This window comes from Homo sapiens, chromosome 1, assembly GCF_000001405.40.
Source record: "Homo sapiens chromosome 1, GRCh38.p14 Primary Assembly".
Classification (NCBI taxonomy): Eukaryota; Metazoa; Chordata; class Mammalia; order Primates; family Hominidae; genus Homo; species Homo sapiens.
The window spans coordinates 154,143,387-154,168,558 of NC_000001.11; the positions used below are offsets into that span (position 1 = coordinate 154,143,387).

Sequence of the window (25,172 nt, forward strand, 5' to 3'; positions counted from 1 at the left end):
ACATAAACAGATATTACTTTATTTTAGGTAATTTTGTTGAATCCTCTGAAGTTCTTTACCTTCAGCATCCAATGCCCTCACCATCAGTTCCAGTGGCGAATCATCTACATAAAGTTCCCGGGCCCGAGATACAATTTCAATGCTGTTTATCACATCAACCTTAACATCACAGCGTAGCTCATGGTCAGTCACTACAATGAACCCAAAAACTGAGTATTTAATTCAATAGGTCATGAATCTATTAAATGTCTCAAATACTCAAAACTGTATTCTAAAGATTATGAAAAAGAAAGACTATGACTGCTGCTTTTACCTATGGAAGAAAATAGCATAATAATAAGATATAAGAGCCTTTCTTTATAACAAGAGGCACTAGACCAGAGATTCCAAAACACTGATCTATGATGTTTCTACTCATCCATGGAAAAATAAGAAAAATAAAAATTGTAATATTTTTCTCCAAATTCTTCAAGATCCTGATAACAAATAAAAATTTTAAAATAGCGAATAATAGGTCTTGCATGGTGGCTCATGCCTGTAATCCCAGCACTTTGGGAGGCTGAGGTGGGCAGATCACAAGGTCAGGAGATCAAGACCATCCTGGCTAACACGGTGAAACCCCGTCTCTACTAAAAATACAAAAAAATTATCCTGGAGTGGTGGCGGGCACCTGTAGTCCCAGCTACTCGGAAGGTTGAGGCAGGAGAAGGTGTGAACCCAGGAGACAGAGGTTGTAGGGAGTCGAGATCACGCCACTGCACTCAAACCTGTGCGACAGAGTGAGACTCTGTCTCAAAAATAAATAAATAAATAAAAAATAAAAAGTGAATAATAAAATAAAGTTGTAGTCGTATTAAAGGATTATACTTTATTCTACGTCTTACTTTTAAAATGGTAAAAAATTTTCTTTTATGAAATAATGGTGTTTAGTAGATTTTTTAAAATGTATTTATTTAGGAAAGTAAAACAGTGGCAACTGTAAGTCAGTCCTATCAATAAACTTTTCTGTCTCTTTCTGTCTTCCTTTCTTTCAGTTATTTTTTCTTGTGGGCCATGAGATTAAAAAGCCTGGGAACCACCGTATTAGATCTAGCTAGAGTCCCAGTCCAACCAGAGTTCTAGTCAATATACCCATAATGAAATTCAGAAACACTAATTGAAACAGTACAGAATAAAATGAGAATGAAATAAAAATTGTTTTGTACCACTATATTTTAACAGCACTCTTTCCTACCACATTTGCCATGTATTTGAGAACTGTCTATATAGCTGTTCCATTCTACTATTGTAACATTTAGTTTTAGCTTCATCCAAAAAAACCAAAAAGCAAAGTTACGACCACTTTCCAATGACCCCAAATTACCAGTAAACATCAGGGATAAACTCTGTCCCTAACCATAGATCTGCTTTTAAGGAATTTTAAAATCAAAGGAGAGGCCGGGTGCAGTGGCTCACGCCTCTAATCCCACCACGTTGGGAGGCTGAGGCAGGGTAGGTGGATCACCTGAGGTCAGGAGTTTGAGACTAGCCTGGCCAACATGGTGAAACTCCGTCTCTATTAAAATACAAAAATTAGCCGGGCATGGTGGTGCACGCCTGTAGTCCCAGCAACTCAGGAGGCTGAGGCAAACGAATTGCTTGAACCCAGGAGGCAGAGGTTACAGTGAGCTGAAATCATGCCACTGCACTCCAGCCTGGGTGACAGAGTGAGACTGTCTCAAAAAAACAAAAAATTAAAAATTAAACATTGGCTGGGCGTGATGGCTCACGCCTGTAATCCCAGCACTTTGGGAGGCCAAGGCGGTCAGACTGCCTGAGGTCAGGAGTTCAAGACCAGTCTGGCCAACATGATGAAACACCATCTCTACTAAAAATACAAAAATTAGCCGGGCGTGGTGGTGCACGCCTGTAGTCCCAGCTACTCGGGAGGCTGAGGCAGGAGAATTGCTTGAACCTGGGAGGCAGAGGTTGCAGTAAGCCAAGATTGTGCCACTGCACTCCAGCCTGGGTGACAGAGCGAGATTCCGTCTACAAAAAAAAAAATTAAACATTGAAAAAAAAATCAAAGGAGAATGTTAATAGGATAATACAGGTAAATGGCCCTCAACAAGGGCTAAGATGCAATAAAGTATGCTTATTTCAGGAAATGGCATGCTTCCTTTCAACAGAAACATTAAAAATTGAATTACTCATCCTGAAATTACTTTATATAGACAACAGAATTGAACAAATAAGTAAATACGTCATAGATAATGAAAGTCACTTTTCTCCCTGTCAGAGAAAGAAGTTACAATAAGCAAGGTGGGAAGGCTAGAATAAACCCTAAGGTGCAAGATTAGAATTGAAGATATCAGTATGAGCTCATGTTTATTTTAATATCTATGCAGATAGATATAGAAATAAGTGTAGATATATGTGTATACAGGAGTTAGCATATATACATATATTTCCTAGTTATGTTGCTGAGAGGGCCTAGAAGCAGTGGATACACCAGTAGCAACAAGCACACTGGCACCCAGATCTTGGTTTCTAAATATAATTCTTGTTGTTGTTGAGATGGAGTCTTGCTACGTTACCCAGGCTAGTCTAGAACACCTGGCCTCAAGCGATCCTCCTACCTCAGCCTCCCAAACCGCTGAGATTACAGGCACTAAATATAATTCTTTAATATAAAGAACCAGGACTCCTTGAAGAAATGGCTAAGATGACCCTGGCCCATCTCATAGAACTAAAAAGTAAGAAAGCACAATCAATCAATCAATCACAAAAATTAAAGAAAAGATAAGGACAAAGGACATAGGAGCCAACCTGAAAGAGCCCCCAGTGGCCAAAGCTGGAAAAACCTGAATAACAGAATAAATTATAACATTGAAATATAGCCCCCAAATTAAATAAATACTCATGAACCCATACTGACATAAATAATTGAATAAATTAACTGGGAAGAAGTTGTTTGTAAGATGTAAGACATCTTTCTTTCAGAAGAATACTAGTTAATAAGTATGGAATATATGAAGGAAATCGCTTAAGCCCAGGAGTTCAAGATCAGCCTGGGCAACATAGTGAGACCTCATATCTACAAATAATAAAAAGAATCTAGCCAGGTATGGTGGCACCCATCTATGGTTCCAGCTACGTGGGAGGCTGAGGTGGAAGAATCGCTTGAGCCTGGGTGGTCAAGGCTGCAGTGAGCTGAGTCCATGCCACTGCAAGAGCAAGATCCCATCCCCCCTCCCCCCCCCACCAAAAAAAGAGCATCACAGTACTAAGATTCATGGATAAACACTAAAATCAGTGGGTAAAGCTTCAAGGAGAAACAGGATACATGAAAGTATCTCCCTCAAATATTTATTAGTTATTGCAGTGGTTAATACATGTGCACAAATCCTTTGGCACTCCTCCTTCCAAGAGGCAAAGGTCACTTCTCCTTCCTTTATTTTTGTTTTGCTTTTTTAAAAACAGGGTCTCACTCTGTCACCGAGGCTGGAGAGCAGTGGCACAATCATAGCTCACTGCAGCCTCGAACTCCTGGGCTCAAGTGATCCTCCCACCTCAGCCTCCTGAGTGGTTGGGATTATAGGCGCATGCCACCGCACCTGGCTAATTTTTAATTTTTTAGTTTTTTGTAGAGACAGGGTCTCACTTTGTTGTCCAGGCCAATTCCCCTTCCTTTAAATTGTGGGCTAGGCTTCATGACCCCTTTTAATGAATAGCATATACAAAGGGGAAAATGGTAGCTTTACAGTGGAGAAACCTGACAGATACCACCACCTTAACCAAGTGATCAAGGTTACCACCACCAGTGATAAATCATGCTGATATCATGAACCCCATGAAATAATGCAATGGGAAGGGCCCTTCAATTCTATGTGGGTTTTTTCCCTGAAAATCATAACCCCAGGCTAATCATGAGAAAAAGTTAGACAAACCCAAATTGAGAAACTTTCTATATACAACATCTGACCAGTACTTTTTTTTTTTCCTTTAAACAAGGTCTCTGGAGTGCAGCAGTTTGATCATGGCTCACTGCAGCCTCAAACTCCTGGACTCAAGCAATCCTCCAGCCTTGGCCTCCTGAGTAGCTGGGGTTACAGGCACGTACCATCATGCCTGGCTAATTTTTTCTTTTTTTTTTTAGTAGAGACTTGGTCTTGCTAATGTTGCCCAGGCTGGTCTTGAACTCCTGGGCTCAAGTGTTCCTCCTGCCTCAGCCTCTCAGAGTGCTGGGATTACAGGCCTCCGGAGCTAGTGCCCTTGGCCCAACACTGTTTGTTTGTTTGTTTGTCTTTGAGACAAAGTCTCTCTCTGTCGCAATGCAGTGGTGCAATCCAACTCACTGCAACCTCTGCCTCTGGGGTTCTGGGGTTCAAGCAATCCTCGTCCCTCAGCCTCCAGAGTAGCTGGGATTACAGGCACACACCACCATGCCTGGCTAATTTTTTGTATTTTTAGTAGAGATGGGGTTTCACCATGTTGGCAAGCCTGGTCTCAAACTCCTGACCTCGTAATCCACCCGCCTCGGCCTCCCAAAGTGCTGGGATTACAGAGGTGAGCCACCGTGCCTGGCCACCCAACACTCTTTAAGTGTCAAGGCCAGGCACGGTGGCTCACACCTGTAATCCCAGCACTCTGGGGGGCCGAGGTGGGTGGATCACTAGGTCAGGAGTTCGAGACCAGCCCGGCCAACATGGCCAACATGGCGAAACCCTGTCTCTATTAAAATACAAAAAATTAGCCAGGCATGGTGGTGCGTGCCTGTAATCCCAGCTACTCAGGAGGCTGAGGCAGGAGAATCGCTTGAACCCGGGAGACGGAGGTTGCAGTCAGCCGAGATTGCACCATTGCACTCCAGCCTGGGCGACAGAGCAAGACTCGGTCTCAGAAAAAAAAAAAAGCATCAAAAGTGACTAAAAGGCTGAACATGGTGACACCCCATCTTTACAAAACTTAGCTGGGCATGGTGGCGTGTGCCTGCAGTCCCAGCTACTGGGGAGGTTAGGGTGGGCAGATCACTTGATACCGGGAAGCAAAGGTTGCAGTGAGCCCAGATAGTGCCAGTGCACTCCAGCCTTGGTGACAGAGACAGACTTTGTCTCAAGAGAAAAAAGTGACTGAGAAACTCACAGATTGGAGGAGACAAAGGAAACATGACAATTTAGTTTAGCAATGTGTATCTTTAATTGAATCCTAGAGAAGATTAGTGAAACATTAGAGCAAACTAGGTAAAGGGTATATGGGAACTTTCTGTATTATCTTTACATCTCTTTTGTAAATCTAAAATCATTTTTAAATTAAAAAGTTTTAAAATTAAGTTAGCCTTCTACTTGATTAACATTTAACTGACAAACAGAACCCCAAGTTAAAATAATTAAAGACAAAGACATGGGGGTCTATGAACAAAAAACAACAAGGTAAGTTGAAATCTCACAGGATCTGCTGGTAGAATTACCACTAAGGAAGTGTTCCAGGATGGTGAAGGAAGGAAGGAAGGGAGGGATGGTAATCTTAGGTAATCCGTAACTTGATAATCAGGCACTGAGTAATCTAGCACTTGTCAAATGAGAAATTAAAGCCCCCTTTTCAGTAGAGAAATGTGTAGCACAATGGCAAACACAAGCAGCTGTGACCTTACATAAAAAAGGAAAAGTCTTGTGCACACAATGCTTACTCATCTGACTACTTCAACAGCAGAAAACTTCTCTTTTTTTTTTTTCCTGAGAAGGAGTTTTGCTCTTGTCGCCCAGGCTGGAGTGCAATGATGCCATTTAGGCTCACTGCAACCTCCACCTCCCGGGTCCAAGTGATTCTCCTGCCTCAGCCTCCCAAGTAGCTGGAATTACAGGTGCCCATCACCACGCCCAGCTAATTTTTGTATTTTTAGTAGAGACGGGGTTTCACCATGTAGGCCAGGCTGGTCTCGACCTCCTGACCTCAGGTGATCCACCCGCCTTGGCCTCTCAAAGTGCTGGGATTACAGGCGTGAGCCACCGTGCCCAGCCTAGAAAACTTTTCAATATAAGGCCATTGACCATAAAGAAAAAAAACTGCCCAGTACAATGGCCCAAGCCTATAAGCTCAACACTTTGGGAAGCTGAGGCAGGATTGCTTGAGCCCAGGAGTTCAAGACCAGCCTGAGCAACCCCACTACCATAGTCTTACAAAAAATAAAAAAACTAGCCAGGCCTGGTGGTGCCCCCCTGTAGTCCCAGCTACTCAGGAGGCTGAAGTAGGGGGATCACTTGAGCCCAGGAGGTCATAGCTGCAATGAGCCATGTTTGTGCCACTGAACTCCAGCCTGGGTGACAGAGTGAAACCCTGTCCCAAAAAATAAAAATAAATAATAAATAAATGAAATTATTTTGGATGATTTACAAGTAAATTTAGAATGATTAGGAGAAATATCAAACATTTAACTTTTAAAGTGAAGAGAATACAACTTTATTAAATAATATAACAGATATTTTTATTTACAGGTCCACATTACTACAGGTACACTTCAGTTGTCCAAACCAGTTCTTCATCTGCCCTGTGAACTTTTTCACCTAAAATTATGCTCTCAGCCGGGTGTGGTTGGCTCATGGCTATAATCCCAGCACTTTGAGAGGCCAAGGTTGGTGGACTGCTTAACTCCAGGAGTTTGAGACCAGCCTAGGCAACATGGCGAAACCCCTACCTCTATAAAAATTACAAAAATTTAGCGGGGCAAGGCCAGGTGTGGTGGCTCACGCCTGTAATCCCAGCACTTTGGGAGGCTGAGGCGGGCAGATCACCTGAGGTTGGGAGTTCGAGATGAGCCTGACCAACATGGAGAAACCACGTCTCTACTAAAAATACAAAATTAGCTGGGAATGGTGGCACATGTCTGTAATCCCAGCTACTCGGGAGGCTGAGGCAGGATAATCGCTTGAACCCGGGAGGCAGAGGTTGCGGTGAGTGGAGATCACGTCATTGCACTTAAGTCTCTCACCTCAAGTCTATCCATCATCTTTGTCATGACCACTTTCTTTACTACACTATCACCAAAACCATCATAAACAAAATTTTATAATAAGCACTTAAGGCTGGGTGCAGTGGCTCACGCCTGTAATCCCAGCACTTTGGGGGGCCAAGGCGGGTGGATCACTTAAGGTCAGGAGTTCAAGACTAGCCTGGCCGACATGGTGAAACACCATCTCTACTAAAAATACAAAAATTAGCCAGGCGTGGTGGCGCATGCCTGTAGTCCCAGCTACTCAGGAGGCTGAGGCAGGAGAATTGCTTGAACCCAGGAGGTGGAGGTTGCAGCGAGCCAAGATCGCGCCATTGCACTCCAGCCTGGATAACACAGCAAGACTCCATCTCAAAAAAAAAAAAAAAAAAAAAGGACTTAAATGCCAATGGCAAGCTTACATCTTTTTACCTTTATATATGCCTTATAAAGTAGGCAACTCAATAAATATCTGTCCAAGGAATTAATGAACAATTTCTCTTAGGCATGCACTTCTCTTTCAAAATGCCCAATCCCACCCCTTTCCTACTACTTGCTCCCATTCAGATGCTCCTAGTAGGACACCAAGACTGGCCCTTACCACTGGGAATCTCATCTATGTACACAATTGTATTAATAGTAAAATTGGGAAAGTTGATTTAAGGATACTTAACTTTGGAAAATTGGTCCCAAGTCAGACGAAGTTAAGCTGAGAGCAAGATTTGACATTTTTCCTAGTACTTCTGTGAATTTTTTTATATCAGAATGAATTTGTGTAGTTAAAAATGATTACATTTTAAAAATCGCATATGTGACCAAATCAATGTTTTTTGTTTTTTCTGACTTTCGTATCCTTCTCTATCCTTTTTAGCTACCCTGCATGACATGGTCTTCAAAGATTCTTATGTTTGAGACTATCATACCATATTTCATTGATTCTTAGACACTCGTTTTTTATCTTTTAACATCTCTGCAATTGGGATTTATCTTATAATTGATGACATCTTACAAGTCCTCTCAGCCAGGCAGCAGTCAAGATATAGTTGTCACTGACTGCACATGTGAGAACATTAAGAGGGCCAGTAACAAAATTTGTAGAATAGGTGTTAGTAGTTGGAAAAAAATCTGGTGAAAAATAGCAGAGGACTCTTATTCCCTAGGAACCAAAAGGTTAAAGGGAGTGGGGGAAAAGTGATGACTCAGATGTACTAGGAAATTTTCCAAAGCTGGAAACAAAAATAGATTAGTTCTATCTAATTGCAAAGTCCACTTAAGAATAGGTTTTAGGTGGTTTTTAAAAATTCTTTTAATTTATTTATTATTATTGTTTTGTAGAGATGGAGTCTCACTGTGTTGCGCAGGCCAGGCAGGATGCAGTGAGCTACTGTCGTGCCATTGCACTACAACCTGTGCAACAAAGCAAGACCCTGTCTCTAAAAAAAGAGAAAATGCTGTCCGGGCACGGTGGCTCACACCTATAATCCCAGCACTTTGGGAGGCTGAGGCAGGTAGATCACCTGAGGTCGGGAGTTTGAGACCAGCCTGACCAACATGGAGAAACCCCCTTTCTACTAAAAATACAAAAATTAGCCAGGTGTGGTGGCAGTGCGCCTGTAATCCCAGCTACTCAAGAGGCTGAGCCAGGAGAATCGCTTGAACCTGGGAGACAGAGGTTACAGTGAGCCAAGATCACGCCACTGCACTCCAGCCTGGGCAACAAAAGCGAAACTCCGTCTCAAAAAAAAAAAAAAAAAGAAAGAAAGAAAGAAAAAATGAAAATCCTGCCTAATACTCTTCATTTTTATTTTATTTTATTTTATTTTATTTTGTTTTATTGAGATGGAGACTCCCTCTGTCGCCCCGCTGGAGTGCAGTGGCACAATCTTGGCTCACTGCAACCTGTGTCTCCCGGGTTCAAGCGATTCTCCTGCCTCAGCCTCCCTGAGTAGCTGGGACTACAGGTGTGCGCCACCACGCCCGGCTAATTTTTTTGTATTTTTAGTAGAGACGAGGTTTTACCATGTTGGCCAGGCTGGTCTCAAATTCCCCACCTCAGGTGATCCACCCACCTCGGCCTCCCAAAGTGGGGGGATTACAGGCGCGAGCCACCGCCCCCAGCCATAATTTTTTTTTTTTTTTTGTAGAGATAGGTCTCACTCTGTTACCCAGACTGTTCTTAAACTCCTGAGCTCAAGCAATCTTTCTGCCTCAGCCTCCCAAAGTGCTGGGATTAAAGGCGTGAGCCACTGCAGCCAGCTAGGAATCATTTATTCTCCCTTTGATCATTTGAAGCCAACACCATTTGTGTTAACTATCTATACAAAATACCAGATTATTCTACCCCAGAAGAAGTGATACATAGTGTTTTTGCTCTCAACATACCTATTTCTCGAGCAAGAATAATACTGCTGAGGCGTATCGGTTGCGTAGATTCAGCAATGAGTACAGCTTTTTGGGAACACAAGGTGCCATTTTCATATAAAGGCTCAACAGTAACTGCATCATGATGGGTGGAATGCCTGCCAGAACAAAATTCTTAAGAGTGTGAAATAGGTGGGTTAAAATTAACTTTTAGTGGAACATAGATTCTCACACTTCTTCCATGTTACATACTACCAGGTATATGTAAATGACACTTTTTAAAGAAGGAACATTGCTTAGGGATGCGATAATTAAACTGAGAGATTGATGAGAACTTTCCCAATGATCCCTTGAACAAAGTCCCAGAAATATCCCTCCCTCAATTTTTTTTAAAAGATTTTTATATTCTTCCCTCAGTATGCAGAAATACGACTGATGTGTTTCTAGTAATGAGAGGGGACTTTCTCATACTCTGAGGAAAGTTTCCTTCAATCCTAGAAACCAGGCTTCTGATATCTAGGATGGAAAAGGTGCCTAAATTATGAGGTGTGAGTCCAACTCAAAATACCAAAAACATTCATAAATATTTTTATTCTTATTTATTATTATGTTTTTGAGACCGAGTCACTTTGTTGCCCAAGCTGAAGTGCAGCAGGGCGATCTCAGCTCACTGCAACATTCGCCTCCAGGGTTCAAGCGATTCTCCTGCCTCAGCCTCTCGAGTAGCTGAGATTACAGGTGTCTGCCACTATGCCCGACTAATTTTTGTATTTTTAGTAGGGATGGGCTTTCATCATGTTGGCCAGGCTGGTCTTGAACTCCTGACTTCAAGTGATCTGCCTGCCCCGGCCTCCCAAAGTGCTGGGATTACAGGCGTGAGCCACTGCGCCCGGCCGAATGTTTTTATTTTAAATAGAGACGGGGTCTCACTATGTTGATCCGGCTGGTCTCAAACTCCTGGCCTCAAGTAATCCTCCTGCCTTGGCCTCCCAAAGTGCTGGGATTACAGGCGTGAGCCACCATGCCTGGCCTCATTAATATTTTTGGAGTGATAGAAGAAATGGCTTTCAATGCTGGAAAGATGCCTTGCATCACCCTCACGGTCAGGAAACACACACGTCACACTGGATCATCTTACAAGCTCACTTTCCTTATACTTCCTCATAAAATGAGAGGTGAATTTATACTCGGAACAAACCTCATTGCTTCTCCTAGGAGATGGCAAAGGGGTATCTACTCCATCTAGGATGAATGCACTGGCATCCTGAAGCTCACTTCGGTTAGGTTCTCTCATACCTTAGGCAACCACATAACCCATCATTGGGTCCTCTCACACCAGAAAATCATGTCTCTTCATCTTCAGTCAGGAAGTCATTATCCCGGAGTTGTGTGTACCCCCTGTCCTCACACTTCAAGCGGGTACCCTTTTATAAATGGGGCAATTTTGATAATACAGACAGATCTCATCTCCACCCACGATAAATCTTCTCATATTCCCAGAAGTTTACACTTCATAGTCTCTGGGCCTCACTTTCCTCGTCTGTGAAATGGGAGTAATAGTACTTACTTCATAAGACTGCAAAAAGCGAATGAGTTAACACATGTAAAGTGCTTAGTTAACCCCCAATACTTGGCTGTTGTGTTTTAAGTCCTTCTCACATTGAATAGCTCATCTATAGTTAGTGGGGACCCTCGCACCCCAAGTTTTCCTGTTCCTACAGAAATTTCCTCAGATATGGGGAACTTCCTCTTACTCTAGTTGTTTACATTGGAAGTCATCAGTACCTGTGGCCTCCAACACAGGGCTTCCCTTTACCCTGACGGCTGCTCATAGTGACCACCCCTTCCCAACACACACAGAGAAGAGGCCAGTCCCACATCCCGAGAATTCCTCACACGTCTGGAAGATTGTCACACAGCTGGAGGATATACCACATGAGTAGGACACGCCACACCCAAGGGTCTGCTCCTCGCCACCTTCACTGACACCACACTCTCCTCCCCTACCGGCTAGGCCCCTTCACGCGGCCCCACACGGTATTCCTGTGGGATCTTACAGAGGGAACCCCCCTCACCCTTACTGGATGGTAGTGAGGGTGCATATCCTTGTCACCCACCACCCCTCACCAAGTGTAGCAGCCCCGCTGGGCCTCCAGCAGGAAAGGCACCCGGCCTGGCTCTCGGCCGAAGGGTAGCAACACCTGTGGCACGTTAAGTTTGTTGGCCAGGGTCCCACGCAAAACCAGAAACAACAACAGGAGGCGGTGTAGACGCAAGAAGAAAAAGAGCCCGAAGCCTCGGCGTCTTGATGACGCCGGACAGCCAGTCATGGCGACTGCCAGGTCTCGGGTTCCCGCTCAACTACAGCCGGCTCACAGCTCCATCAGCCAATCCACAGGCGTGACGTCAGCAGAGGGGGATGGGACCTGCTTCTTGCTCGGATGTGTGGGCATTTTTAAATGCAGTCCTTCAGCAAGCCAATATAATGGAAACTTTTGGCACAAACCCAGCTAAAACACCTCAAACTCTCTTAAAGGGCTTTCCTAAATACTGGATGGCAGACCTTTTTAACAGTAAGGAACAAGCAGAAAAGTCTAAAAAAAACCCTTTAATTTCTTCCAGTTTTAATTTCTTCTGTTGCACACTGTTTATCTTAACACCACACCCTCCGCCCGACAAAAAAACTTTTTGCAATGATTTCCAGTTAGCATTGGTCCATGCCTATCAACGGAAAATTGTGCAGTCTCTGGGATAAACAGCTCGACTTTGTCAAGGGAACCGTGTATTTTTACTAGAAGTCAGATTCACGTCCGGCCTCCAGGCCAGAATGCAGGAAATGCCAGACACTGGCGTCTCAAAAGCAGCTTTCAAAGTTATCCACTCACACAGCCGGCCTCTAAGCAAATACTCTTGAGAGCACTTGTTGTTTTCTCCAAATATCCAAACAGAATATAAACTCAAAGCTGTTTCAGTACAGTTGGTTAAAACCACGCATTTATAGTAGTGATCAGCATTATATATTGTTTTAAGGAGCATAAATCCATAGTTTATAAGGATTGATATGGTTGTGAAGGAAAATGTATATAGTTCAGCCTGAGATGTCAGTGTTAACCTATAAAAGGCCCAGCACATTAAGTGTTCTTTCTAATCTTCATGTTTACTCTGACAATACTTATCTCCATTTTACAGATGATAAAACTAAACATTTGCTCTATATTAAATCCTGTTGCTCCAGCTGGGTGCGGTGGCTCACGCCCGTAATCCCAGCATTTTGGGAAGCTGAGGCAGGTGGATCACCTGAAGGTCAGGAGTTCGAGACCAGCCTGGCCAACATGGTGAAGCCCTGTCTCTACTTAAAATATAAAAAATTACCCGGGCATGGTGGCAGGTGCCTGTAATCCCAGCTACTCGGGAGGCTGAGGCAGGAGAATCTCTTGAACCAGGAGGCGGAGGTTGCAGTGAGCCGAGATCGAGCCATTACGCTCCAGCCCAGGCAACAAGAATGAAACTTCATCTCAAAAATAATAATAATAAAGAATAAATCCTGTTGCTACCACCCACAAAGATGCTATTTTTAACCCAAACCTCATAGCTTCTGTGGAGAAAGCACATTTAGTTTTAATAAATAAAAGTCAAATAGGTCTGAGGGTTGGAGGGACTGGTTCTTTATTTCAAAAAGACACTTGTCAATATTCAGTATCAAAACAGTTGCACTATTGATTTCTCTTTCTCCCAATCGGCCCCAAAGAGACCACATAAAAGGAGAGTACATTTTAAGCCAATAAGCTGCAGGATGTACACCTAACAGACCTCCTAGAAACCTTACCAGAAAATGGGGACTGGGTAGGGAAGGAAACTTAAAAGATCAACAAACTGCCAGCCCACGGACTGCAGAGGCTGTCACAGCCAGATGGGGTGGCCAGGGTGCCACAAACCCAAAGCAAAGTTTCAAAATAATATAAAATTTAAAAAGTTTTGTACATAAGCTATTCAAGATTTCTCCAGCACTGACTGATACAAAGCACAATTGAGATGGCACTTCTAGAGACAGCAGCTTCAAACCCAGAAAAGGGTAATGAGATGAGTTTCACATGGCTAAATCAGTGGCAAAAACACAGTCTTCTTTCTTTCTTTCTTTCAAGGAGGCAGGAAAGCAATTAAGTGGTCACCTCAACATAAGGGGGACATGATCCATTCTGTAAGCAGTTGTGAGGGGGTAGAGATGGGACAAAATTTTGGTCTCAGAGGTCTTACCATCTTAATTTGGTAACTTCTAATGAAAAAAATAAAAAATAGAAATAACATTATCCAAAGATATCTTAAAGCTGAAAACTTGAACAGCACATTTTTTGTTTTTGTTGTTGTTTGGCTAACTCCTCCTGGAATCACCTTTCTGGTTTAGCTAGTACTTTGTACAGAACAATGAGGTTTCCCACAGCGGAGTCTCCCTGGGCTCTGTTTGGCTCTCGGTAAGGCAGGCCTACACCTTTTCCTCTCCTCTATGGAGAGGGGAATATGCATTAAGGTGAAAAGTCACCTTCCAAAAGTGAGAAAGGGATTCGATTGCTGCTTCAGGACTGTGGAATTATTTGGAATGTTTTACAAATGGTTGCTACAAAACAACAAAAAAGGTAATTACAAAATGTGTACATCACAACATGCTTTTTAAAGACATTATGCATTGTGCTCACATTCCCTTAAATGTTGTTTCCAAAGGTGCTCAGCCTCTAGCCCAGCTGGATTCTCCGGGAAGAGGCAGAGACAGTTTGGCGAAAAAGACACAGGGAAGGAGGGGGTGGTGAAAGGAGAAAGCAGCCTTCCAGTTAAAGATCAGCCCTCAGTTAAAGGTCAGCTTCCCGCAGGCTGGCCTCAGGCGGAGTCTGGGTCAGAGGGAGGAGCAGCAGCAGGGTGGGACTGGGGCGTTCTACATCTCATTCAGGTCAAGCAGGGTCTGGTCCAGCATCCTTTGTGTACAGAGGTGCTCCTCTTTGGTGCATTTCAGTTTATCTAATGGGGGTAAAGGAGAGAAGTTACAAGAACTAGAAGTAAATTTCAAGGTCTACCCGCTCTTTGAGACTTGCTCCTGTTGCAGAGAAGCTGCAGACTGATAAAGCAGCTGCCTTCTCAGCCACAGAAGTGAGCTATTACATCACCCAGTTTTGTAGGGCCTTTGGCTTGCCTACTGAAGTTGTAGGTGTTGCTGCACTTCCTGGGTGAGGGAGTTAGGGCCCTTATCAGCCATTTCCTCTCCCTCCCACACCCAACCAACACTTTCAGCTTTCAGTCAATGAAAGAGCAAGCCTTAACCATCAGCCATCCACTTTTCTAGGTTTTGCCCACATAACAATACCCTCTTGAAATGGCTCACCGGAGTTTGAACATTGCAAACAATAGAAACATCAGAATCTCAGATTATAAAGAGCACAGGAAGATCCTCATGCACTACATGTTTTTTCGAAAAAGTAGAGGCCAAAGTAATAACTGATGGGATAAATAAAAGGGCGCTCACAGTTAAGTCAAATAATCTCTAAAGAAAACAAAGCCAAGAATACTACTGAAACAAGTAGTTGTAAGCAAACCTTGAGATTGCTGCAGAGCTATTGAACAGAACTAGCTTGTGACAGTTACTTGAAATTAACATAAAACCAGAAAAAGGACGCAAAAGTCAGAAAGAAAATCAGCAGCTGAACATTAAGGAGAATCTAATCTGTCTAGCAAGCAAACCACTCTGACTGCTCTAAAGAGGTGAGGAAAATACTCAAATCTTCAACTCAGAGAAGGTGATGGCAACACAGACCCATATTCATATCCCACAACTTTTCTTTCACTTCCCTTTTTTCCACCCAGTCAGAAGGACCCATTCCTGGGCCTGCCGATGAAGCAGTTACAACAACTTGTCAAGTCAGTCCTTTTATTGTTAAAAACATCCATGCAAGGGAACATATCCTACAGTCAGTGCCCAAGTGAAAGAGCAGCAAATAAGGGTGGAAAACAAAATTCTCGCAAGTTTTCTCACTATAATCTCTCAGGCCCCTCCCTTCTTCACCCATAATCTCTTCTAAAGGGACAGAAACTTCACAATGGTCAACTTCACAATGCTGTTAGGAAATCAACATTCTAACTGCCCCAATTAAAATGCAATTTGCTCAGGGCAAAATAATAACTTTTAAAAAGACAATCAGCTTTTTGTTGGGGTCCAGGTCAGTGGTGTGAGCAGTAAGCTCAGTTTAATGGGCATCATTGAGCCCTGCCCATCAGTCACACAGATCATGCAGCGTTAGCTTCAGCTCATTAGAAAGCAGGCGGTTTCGCTCAAGTTGGCTGTAGAGACGCTCTGCAGCAGCAACGGAGAGGAGGGGAACACAAGAGAAGGAGAGGAAAAAGAGGAGGAGAAAGAGAAAAAGGGAAAGTTAGTAGAGTACCAGAAGTAAATTATGAGTCTTTCAACTAGCTGGTATATATAACATGCATCTGTAAGGCAGGGTGGATGCAAGGAGGATTCAGATAGAGGGCAATAAGAGTCAGTCAGTTGGTGGAAAGACCAACAGAGGAAATTCAGACTGACAAGTTGGTAGGACAACATTTTGAGGGAGAAAAAATGCTTCCTTCACAATATTTATTCCCTGGGTTGAGAAACTGAAACAAGGGAAATGGCAAAGGAAGGAATACAGTTGGCTTCGAAGAAATGTGTTCACAATAATCAGGGTTTGAAAGGAATGGAAGTGAACAGCTGAACATTTTTCTGTGAAAGCATTCAAGACAGCATTATAAACAGTATACTGGGAGAAATATCCCCACACTCATTCACTCCTATACTTTCTAATGCTTTGTGTTACAGATATTGTGTGATAGACCCATTTCAGTGGCCTAGCCAATAAATATTCAATTTCTTCTTCTTCTTTAAAAGAACCCCAAACCTGTTAAGAGTCAACAAATAGTGTGCCTAGTCCCAGGGAAGGCAAATTACTGGTATAAGCTACTCAAGACTATCCTGTTGTTTTTCAGCCTCCCTTGCAGCTAGGGGTGATCATATGATCCAGTTTTAACCAATGAGATGTAGAAAGATAGTCTGCTGGGGGCTTCTGGGAAAACTTTAGCTTTCCCTCTTGCCTTCAACATGGATGTGATGACCAGAGTTGCATATTTCAATCTTAAGAGAAAAGACCAAGAGAATCATGGAAAGCCCAGCTACAACAGGCCACAGTTGCTCATGGCTAGATGTATGTGATTAAAAAACAAATCCCATATTTATTTAAGCTACTAAGTAAGTTATTTCCTTTTTTTTTTTTTTTTTTTTTACAAATCAGGCTAAAGGACAATTTAGCAAGCATTCCTGATACAAGCAGCTAAGTGCTCAAATCTAATAGGTTTATCTGGATTTTCCATTTGAAGCACACTTTAAAGAGATAGTGGGATATGGAAGATTCAAATACATCTGACTAGCACAGGGATAATACAACTTTGGGGACAGGAAAACCAAACTCTTCCTGGTATACTCCTAGTATCAACCTCTGAAATTCACAAATAAGTTTCTCCCTATATTTTACAGCCCGTTTCAAAATGGTCTCAGGATCTCAATATGAAAAAGATACTTTTCTGTCCTAAAATCATCTGCATATGTGAGCATTGCTCAGGTACCCTGCCTTGTGGGCTGAGGCTCTCCCCAGATTGACTGGGAAGCTAGAGACCAGTATGGTCCCAGTAATACTTGCCACTTTATGTACACTATCAAAACAGAAAGCATATATGTGTAAAAAGCCTGGGAGGGAATGACTAAAAATAATAGCTGTATTAAACAGTAGAATCAGGGTGAACCTTTAACTTGCACTCCCCATTAAACCAATGGTTCTCAATAGGGGTGGTATTGTGCACTCTTCTCTCCAAGGGGAGATTTTGAGTATGTATGGGAGGTTTTGATATCACAGTGACTAGAAGGCCCATACAGGTATCTGTTGGGCAGGGGACAGCAATACACAGGATTGTTCTGTACATCAACAGAACTGTCCTACTCTAAATGACAAACGTTCACCATTGACAAACACTATACAGGCTGAGAACCCAAATCTGAAAGTCCAAAATCCAAAATGCTCCAAAATCTGAAACTTTTTGAATGCCAACATGATGCTCAAAGAAAATGCTCATTGGAGGATTTTGGATTTTACATACACATACAGATGTGTGTGTTTGTGTGTGTGTGTATTAGAGACAAGGTCTTACTGTGTTGTCCAGGCTACAGTGTGGTGACTATTCATAGGCCTAATCATAGTGCACAACAGCCCTGAACTCCTAGGGCTCAAGCAAACCTCTTGCTTCAGCCTCCTGAGTAGCAGGAACTATAGGTGTGCATCACCATGCCTGGTATAAATTTCTGATTTTCGAATTTGGGATGCTCAACTGGAAAGTATAATGCAAATATTAAAAAAAAAAAAAAAAAAAAAAAGCAAAAATCCAAAACACTTCTGCTCCCAAGCATTTTGAATAAGGAATACTCAAAACTATACTAATGGTATATAAGCTTCATGAGGCCTGAGATTGGACCTGTCTTATTCACTGGGGCGTCCTTGTCAAAATAACAGGTGTTGAAATTTGTGAACTAATCTCTCAAATTTCCTGTGATGTTACATTACATATAGATCTCGTGAACAGCCTGAATTTAGATAATACCTATAACCAAGTTAGTTTGTGTGATTCTCACTTGGGAAAGAAGGATGTTATCAGGATCCTTTTTTTTTTTTTTTTTTTTTGAGTTTCACTCTTGTTGCCCAGGTTGGAGTGCAATGGTACGATTTTGGTTCACTGCAACCTCCACCTCCCAGGTTCAAGCGATTCTCTCGCCTCAGCCTCCTGAGTAGCTGGGATTACAGGCACCCACCACCACGCCCAGGTAATTTTTGCATTTTTTTTTTTTAGTAGAGATGGGGTTTCACCATATTGGCCAGGCTGGTCTTGAACTCCTGACCTCAGGTGATCTGCCCGCCTCCCAAAGTGCTGGGATTACAGGCATGAGCCACCGCACCCAGCCGCGTTATCAGGATCTTTATCCCTCAAAGCAGCCTGGTCAATTCTTTTCCATTTAGGGAAGAAATAAAGAGACAGAGAAGGAGTGAGAGCATTTTATTGCCTGACTAAATCACAGAACACAGAGTTTCCTAGGAATTGCATGAGGTCAGAAAGACAAATGCAGCTGTTCTCTCACTTTGAACTTAGTTTCTAACTCTGCTATCTCTAGTTATTAAAAATTAAGACCAGTACTAGCTCCTTAAAGTTTTTGGTTCCCTGATAATAGCTAAAACAAAACAAACGAAAAGGCAAGGCAGAGAACCTATTTGGTCTAGCGTTCTTTTCAGCTATATCTAATTAAGAAACAACCCCATGGCCAGGTGCAGTGGCTCAAGTCTGTAACCCCAGCACTTTGGAAGGCCGAGGCGGGCAGATCACGAGGTCAGGAGTTTGAGATCAGCCTAACATGTTGAAACCTAGTCTCTACTAAAAACACAAAAATTAGCCGGGCTTGGTTGCACGTGCCTGTAATCCCAGCTATTCAGGAGGCTGAGGCAGGAGGATCACTTAAACCCAGGAGGCGGAGCTTGCAGTGAGCCAAGATCACACCACCGCACTCCAGCCTGGGCAACAGAGCAAGACTCCGTCTCAAAAAAAAAAAAAAAAAAAAACACAAACCAACCCCATGGAGTTGGATAGTATTCAACCAACACCATGTGAAAGGAAGAGATTTGGTTGGGGCTAAGATAAAGCTGCCAAACAGAATAGGTCTAAGATAAAGCTGCCAAACAGAATAGGTCAGTTGTACCTATCAGATAACTTGGGGTTACTACATCTTATTCCTTATCTCAATGATGGTAACAAGGAAGGGCAAAATGGGCCTGTGGTTCTTAGAAATTAAGAGGGGGTAACATTAAGGGGACAAATGTTTTACTCTGATGCTTGACTTCACCCCAATACTAGTCCAGGCTCAAGTAACACAGGATGGCTTCTGCAAGGATATTAAGCCTTAAACAAAGGAATGAATTTAGCATTAGCACTAATTACATAGTACTTCATTGTCCACTTTGGTACCCCAGTTTGTTGGTCTCTATCCTTGGCTCACACTAGTCATACCGCAAGGAAAACAGGAGATACCACAGATCAGAGCTATAACACCTTACTTTTCTCCCAATCTCCCTCTTATTTCCTTCTTTTTTTTCTCTCCTGCCTCAGCCTCTCGAGTAGTTGGGACTACAGGCATGTGCCACCATGTCCAGCTAATTTTTGTATTTTTAGTAGAGACAGGTTTTCACCACGTTGGCCAGGATGGTCTTGATCTCTTGACCTTGTGATCCACCTGCCTCGGCTTCCCAAAGTGTTGGGATTACAGGCATGAGCCACCATGCCCGGTCTACTTCCTTCCTTTCTAAGAAGTCTTTCTTCATGTCAAAGCCAACTTCTGCCCAGGATCTGAATATTTAGAAATGCATTGTCCAATATAATAGCCACTAGCCACAGGTAGCCAAATTTAAATGAACTACAATGAAATACAATTAAATTTTAGCCCCTCAGCCACACTAGCCATGTTTTGAGTGCTTGACTGCCACATGTGGCTAATGTACTAGACATCATTACCAAAAGTTCTGTTGGAAAGCCCTGCTCTAAAGTAAATTATATTGCCTATATAATCTTCCTACCAATACACTCTTTTGCCCCTGAAAATGACTCCTCCTCTTCACTTCTTAACACTCAAAATGTACCCTCAAATTACTAAAGTATCAATGCATGTCCCATTTTCAGTTATCTTCCTTCTTAGCCTCTCTGTTGAAAAACCACTAGAAAGCATCCAACCCGGAACTTTTTAAAGAACTACTCAACCGTCTTCTTTCCCTCCAATCAGTTCCATTTGGTTCCTCCTCTTACATAACGTTTTCCTCATTGTTTAATTTTTTTTTGAGACAGAGTCTTGCTCTGTCACCCAGGCTGGAATGCCGTGGCACAATCTCAGCTCACTACAAGCTCCGCCTCCCGGGTTCACGCCATTCTCCTGCCTCAGCCTCCCAAGTAGTTGGGACTACAGGTGCCCGCAACCACGCCCAGCTAATTTTTTGTATTTTTAGTAGAGACGGGGTTTCAACGTGTCAGCCAGGATGGTCTTGATCTCCTGACCTCGTGATCCGCCCACCTCGGCCTCCCAAAGTGCTGGGATTACAGGCGTGAGCCACCGTGCCTGGCCTCTTTTTTTTGTATTTGCAATTGTCCTTCATGGTTCTAATTTACCTCCATGGCATAAACTACCTGTACCCCATATGGATTCCCAACTCTCTTATGTCAACCTCTCTGCCTCACGCCCTAGAATTTTGTTTTCACCCAGATACCTGCCAGATTGTCAGCCGTATCTTCTTTCCCTTCCCCCAGCTCCCCAAACCAGGACAACATGATCTCCCTACATCTTTAACCCCACCACTTTCCTACTCTTTTTTTGGGGGGGGTCTCATTCTGCCACCCAGGATGGAGTGCAGCAGTGTGATCACAGCTTGCTGCAGCCTCAGACTCCTGGGCTCAAAGGATCCTCTGGCTTCGGCCCTCCAAGTAGATAGGACTGCAGGCACGCACCACCATGTTTGGCTAAGTTTTTATATTTTGTAGAGACAGGTTCTCACTTTATTGCCAGGCTGGTCTCGAACTCCTGGATTCAAGAAATCCTCTCACCTCAGCCTCCTAAAGTGCAGGGATTACAGGCATGAGCCACTGCACCCGGCTAATTCTCCTACTCTAAAAACCAGTCATCCTTGTCTTTCCTCCTCACATCAAGTGGCCAGGCCTTTCACAATGCCTGTCTTTATTTAGTGCTATCTCTCCTGCCACTACTCTAGCTCAGACCCTGATTATTCTCTCCTAGAAAACTAAATTAACCTAACCCAATTTTTTCCAAAGTGTGGTGTATTCACTGCTATAGTTACTTTAATGTGATTAGGAAAAAACACTAACACATCAAAACTTTGATTTCAAAATAGAATTGTGTCAAGTAAGAACAAAATAAATCTGGAAATGAGTAGATCTGAAGAAAACAATGTAGGCAGCAATGAATATGGAAAAAGCCATCAAAAATGGTAACATAAATGGCTGAAATGTGAGAAACACCATGTTAGTGAATCACTTTGCTAATCTGCAAATTAGTTACCAAATTAATTCTTCTTATATGTTATTCAGATCACAACATATCCTATTCAAAATCTCCAGTGGCATCCCCATTAACTCCAAGTAAAATTATAACTCCTCAGCCTCATTTTAAGACACAACCTGTTCCCTACTCTGTCTAAATCTACCTTTAGAGCTATTGTGGCCTTCTCATCTCTATCAATGCCTTTATTATTTTGTTTCTCTTTAAATGGAATGCTCAGGCCAGGTGCAGTGGCTCACGCCTGTAATCCCAACACTTTGGGAGGCAGAGGCGGGTGGATCACTTGAGGTCAGGAGTTCGCGACCAGCCTGGCCAACATGCTGAAACCCCGTCCGTACTAAAAATACAAAAATCAGCTGGGCATGGTGGTGGGTATCTGTAATCACAGCTCCTCGGGAAGCTGAGACAGGAGAATCGCTTGAACTCAAGAAGCAGAGGTTGCAGTGAGCCATGATCTCACCACTGCACTCCATCCAGCCTGGGTGACAGAGCGAGACTCCATCTCAAAAAGAGAAAAATAAATAAATAATGGAATGCTCAATATTCACTATCCCACAACCCAACTCTGCTTGTCAAAAATCCACTTTTGGAACCCAATAAAAATGAATATGCAAGTTTAACATGTTGGCTGGGCGCAGTGGCTCAAGCCTGTAATCCCATCACTTTGGGAGGCTGAGGTGGGTGGATCACTTGAGGTCAGGAGTTCCAGACCAGCCTGGCCAACATGGTGAAACCTCACCTCTACTAATAATACAAAAATTAGCTGGGTGTGGTGGCAGGCGCCTGTGATCTCAGCTACTCGGGAGGCTGAGGTGGGAGAACTGCTTGAACCCAGGAGGCAGAGGTTGCAGTGAGCTGAGATCAGGCCACTGAACTCCAGCCTAGGTGACAAGAGTCAAACTCCGTCTCAAAAAAAAAAAAAAAAAGAAAAAAAGAAAAAAGTTTTAACATGTTTATGAAGTACCCATTACATGCCTTCTTCCATGAGTTTTTCCAATTCATTCCCACTAGGATCAATCTCGTCCCCTCTACTCAATTCCCATAACACTATTATTTGTGGCATTCATCACACAGTATCTGTAGCTTTATGTATGTTTTCTCTCCTAGTAGATTCTAAGCAACTTGAGAGTAGGAATGGTGCCTCCATCTTTATTTCTGTCTCCATCTTAATATCCTATACCTAGAAGATACCAGGAAGTGTCAGCTGAATAAATGAATCTGAACCTTAATCTCAAAGGCTATGCGGCAGTAAGAAATGGAATGGACAAAAGGAAACGTGAATTTGATATGACTTAAAGTTTTAGATTAAGGAAAACTTCCCTACCTGATTATATCTGTTTAAAAGAAGAGCAAAAGTGTTTTTAACAGATGGAATCTTGCTGTGTTGCCCAGGCTGGAGTACTACAGTGGCTATTTATAGGTGCAATCCCACTACTGATCAGCACAGGAATTTTGACCTGCTCCATTTCCGACCTGGGCCAGTTCACCCCTTCTTAGGCAACCTTGTTGTTCTCCACTCCCAGGAGGTCACCATACTGATGCCAAATTTAGTGAGGACATCTGACCTGCATAGCACACTACAGTGCAGAACTCCTGGGCTCAAGCAATCCTCCTGCCTCAGCCTCCCAAGAAGCTACAGGCAGTACAGGCAAGTGCCATTGCACCCAGCTAAAAGAAAAGCAAATTTTAAATACATACCCTGCTGGGAAACTAAAGTACTAAGTGAACAACACTTACGTGCTTGGATTAGTATAATTCACAGCTATACTATTAAGAAATCTCTGCTGTGTAAATTGGAATGCGAATTCCTTTTTTTTTTTTGAGATGGAGTCTCTCTGTTGCCCAGGCTGGAATGCAGTGGCGCGATCTCCGCTCACTGCAACCTCCGCCTCCCAGGTGCAAGCGATTCTCCTGCCTCAGCCTCCCGAGTAGCTGGGATTACAGGCACCCACCCACCATGCCCAGCTAATTTTTGTATTTTTAGTAGAGACGGGGTTTCACCATGTTGGCCGAGCTGGTCTCGAACTCATGACCTCAGGTGATCCACCTGCCCCAGCCTCCCAAAGTGCTGGGATTATAGGCGTGAGCTACCACGCCCGGCCTATAATGGGAATTTCTAAAATGTTGATATTTAATTCCACAATATGAACCAAGGAAAATTTTACTAGCAGAAATTTATGTATGTAATAAATCATTAGCCTCATATGCACATTATTTGAAATATGCATGATTGGTCATTTTAGTTTTCCCAATAATAATTTATCACTTATCTTATATCCCACTAGTCACACACTAGCAGGCAAATGGTAGCAAGTCTCAAATATGTAAGAAAGGTTTAAAGAAGAAAAAGTAAAAAAACCGTCCAGAATTCTATCCATTGTGTATTTTTCTGTGACTGGAGTTGACATAATTAGTCAATCTTAGCAATAATGTATTGGGTTCACTGGGTGTTCTGAGGATGCACCATTTGAACCACCGGTAAAAGGGTACAGAATGTGTATTGAGAGTCACTTCAATGGCTTCTCAATGACACCACACCAAAGGAGGAATACCTGAAGAGAGAATGGAAACACTGCAGGCAGGATGATTTAAGAACCTGGAAATAAGGAATTTAATCTTGTTCAGCTTGAGGAGTATAACTAAAATTACTATCCTGAGTAACCTGTACTAAATCCATCACTCTGGTAGAATCAGATCAGCTGAGTTTAAATGTCAAGAAAAAATAGACACACACAAAAGTGGCTTTGATTACATAAGTCAGAGGAGGGGGAGCCTACAATAGCTCTTCCCCACATCACACCCCCAAGGCTCCTTCTTAGGGACAGCAACAGCTTTGTCAATGACACAAATGCAGGGTGGCATGAGGTTTCCAGCAGCTTAACATTTTAATTTGGGGTGGGGGTGGAAGAAAATACATAAGTTGCTTTTTGCTCCCCCATCCTAATGCCTTGGGGACCAGCCAGGCTGACCCAAATGGAATCCAGAGCGAGAGTGGGGCCTTGGGTTCCCCGAGGAGTAAAGGGGGCAGATCCAGAACAGAGCAGAAACGGTGATAATTATCTGTATGAAAAAGTAAGGATACTCTAGGTGAGAAGGACTAGCATCAATCTAGATAGCAAACTGGGAAAAAGGAAGAGGAAAAAAAGGAAGAGGTGGCAGCAGGAATAATAAAAGAGAGCCAGACACTTCAGCCTGAGAAATGTGGCTTCTTTTCAGGGTTAGTGGGAAAGATACAAAGAGGCAGATTAGCATCAAGGATCAGGGATCCACAGCAAACAGATGAAGCCCCAACAACTCTTTTTGGTGCTGTTTATCACTTGGCTTGCTTCTGGGACTCAGCTCAATTCTTAGGTGAATTTGGTATTTCCCATCTTGGGTAGTTCCCTGAACTTTAATATCAGGGAACCAATTAAACACACCCAGGAGGCCTGAATTTTGTCTTAATGTGTCAGGGCCCAAGTTACTGGCTCTGTGGGCCCTATTTCCTTAGTTGTATGGATTCTACCTCTAGCAGTATCCCTTCTGAGAAGACTAAATTTGAGAAGCAAATAGAAAAATCACAGTATAATGAAGAAACTATGAATACAAAATATAAAAATTACAAGTCAGTCAGGGTTCTCCTTCTGATCCAAGATTAATTGCCTCCAGAGCTTTTTTTTCTTAGACAGTCTTGCTCTT

The 25,172-nt window shown here is 42.9% G+C and overlaps 2 protein-coding genes and 1 pseudogene across 24 annotated transcripts in view, besides 3 other annotated features; all 3 read right to left on the reverse strand.

The window, feature by feature from the left end:
* Positions 1 to 11,730, reverse strand: part of NUP210L (nucleoporin 210 like) — a 162,427-nt gene extending 150,697 nt beyond the window's left edge. For 5 of the 8 annotated variants that reach the window (XM_011510123.2, NM_001159484.1, XM_017002788.3 and 2 more), the window contains exons 1-3: positions 11,456 to 11,730; positions 9,350 to 9,486; positions 60 to 191 (exon numbers count right to left, since the gene is read on the reverse strand). In XM_011510123.2, the coding sequence (XP_011508425.1) occupies positions 60 to 191; positions 9,350 to 9,486; positions 11,456 to 11,658 (472 nt within the window). In that variant the 5' untranslated portion in view covers positions 11,659 to 11,730. Of the gene's footprint in view, positions 1 to 59; positions 192 to 9,349; positions 9,503 to 11,455 lie in introns of all 8 variants that reach the window. The other 3 variants (XM_047433904.1, NM_207308.3, XM_011510122.2) reach the window with 3 other exon arrangements.
* Positions 11,020 to 11,520: an enhancer, noted in NCBI's record as "H3K4me1 hESC enhancer chr1:154126882-154127382 (GRCh37/hg19 assembly coordinates)". NCBI's record gives its function as "activates a minimal SCP1, AML or CMV promoter by ChIP-STARR-seq in primed H9 embryonic stem cells {active_cell/tissue: H9 hESC(primed)}" and the evidence as "EXISTENCE:reporter gene assay evidence [ECO:0000049][PMID:30033119]".
* Positions 11,521 to 12,021: an enhancer, noted in NCBI's record as "H3K4me1 hESC enhancer chr1:154127383-154127883 (GRCh37/hg19 assembly coordinates)". NCBI's record gives its function as "activates a minimal SCP1, AML or CMV promoter by ChIP-STARR-seq in primed H9 embryonic stem cells {active_cell/tissue: H9 hESC(primed)}" and the evidence as "EXISTENCE:reporter gene assay evidence [ECO:0000049][PMID:30033119]".
* Positions 11,922 to 25,172, reverse strand: part of TPM3 (tropomyosin 3) — a 36,793-nt gene continuing 23,542 nt past the window's right edge. For 10 of the 16 annotated variants that reach the window (NR_103461.2, NM_001364679.2, NM_001364680.2 and 7 more), the window contains one exon: positions 11,922 to 14,335. Coding sequence is in view for 15 of the 16 variants with exons in the window: in NM_001364679.2 (NP_001351608.1) it covers positions 14,253 to 14,335 (83 nt within the window). In the remaining variant the exon portion in view is untranslated. Of the gene's footprint in view, positions 15,663 to 18,426; positions 24,555 to 25,172 lie in introns of those variants that run through there. The other 6 variants (NM_001364681.2, NM_001043353.2, NM_001043352.2 and 3 more) reach the window with 2 other exon arrangements.
* Positions 12,628 to 12,805: a silencer, noted in NCBI's record as "fragment chr1:154128490-154128667 (GRCh37/hg19 assembly coordinates)". NCBI's record gives its function as "represses an EF-1alpha promoter that drives an FKBP-Casp9 reporter gene in an ReSE screen in K562 erythroleukemia cells {active_cell/tissue: K562}" and the evidence as "EXISTENCE:reporter gene assay evidence [ECO:0000049][PMID:32094911]".
* On the reverse strand, positions 22,861 to 23,163 carry RN7SL431P (RNA, 7SL, cytoplasmic 431, pseudogene; annotated as a pseudogene).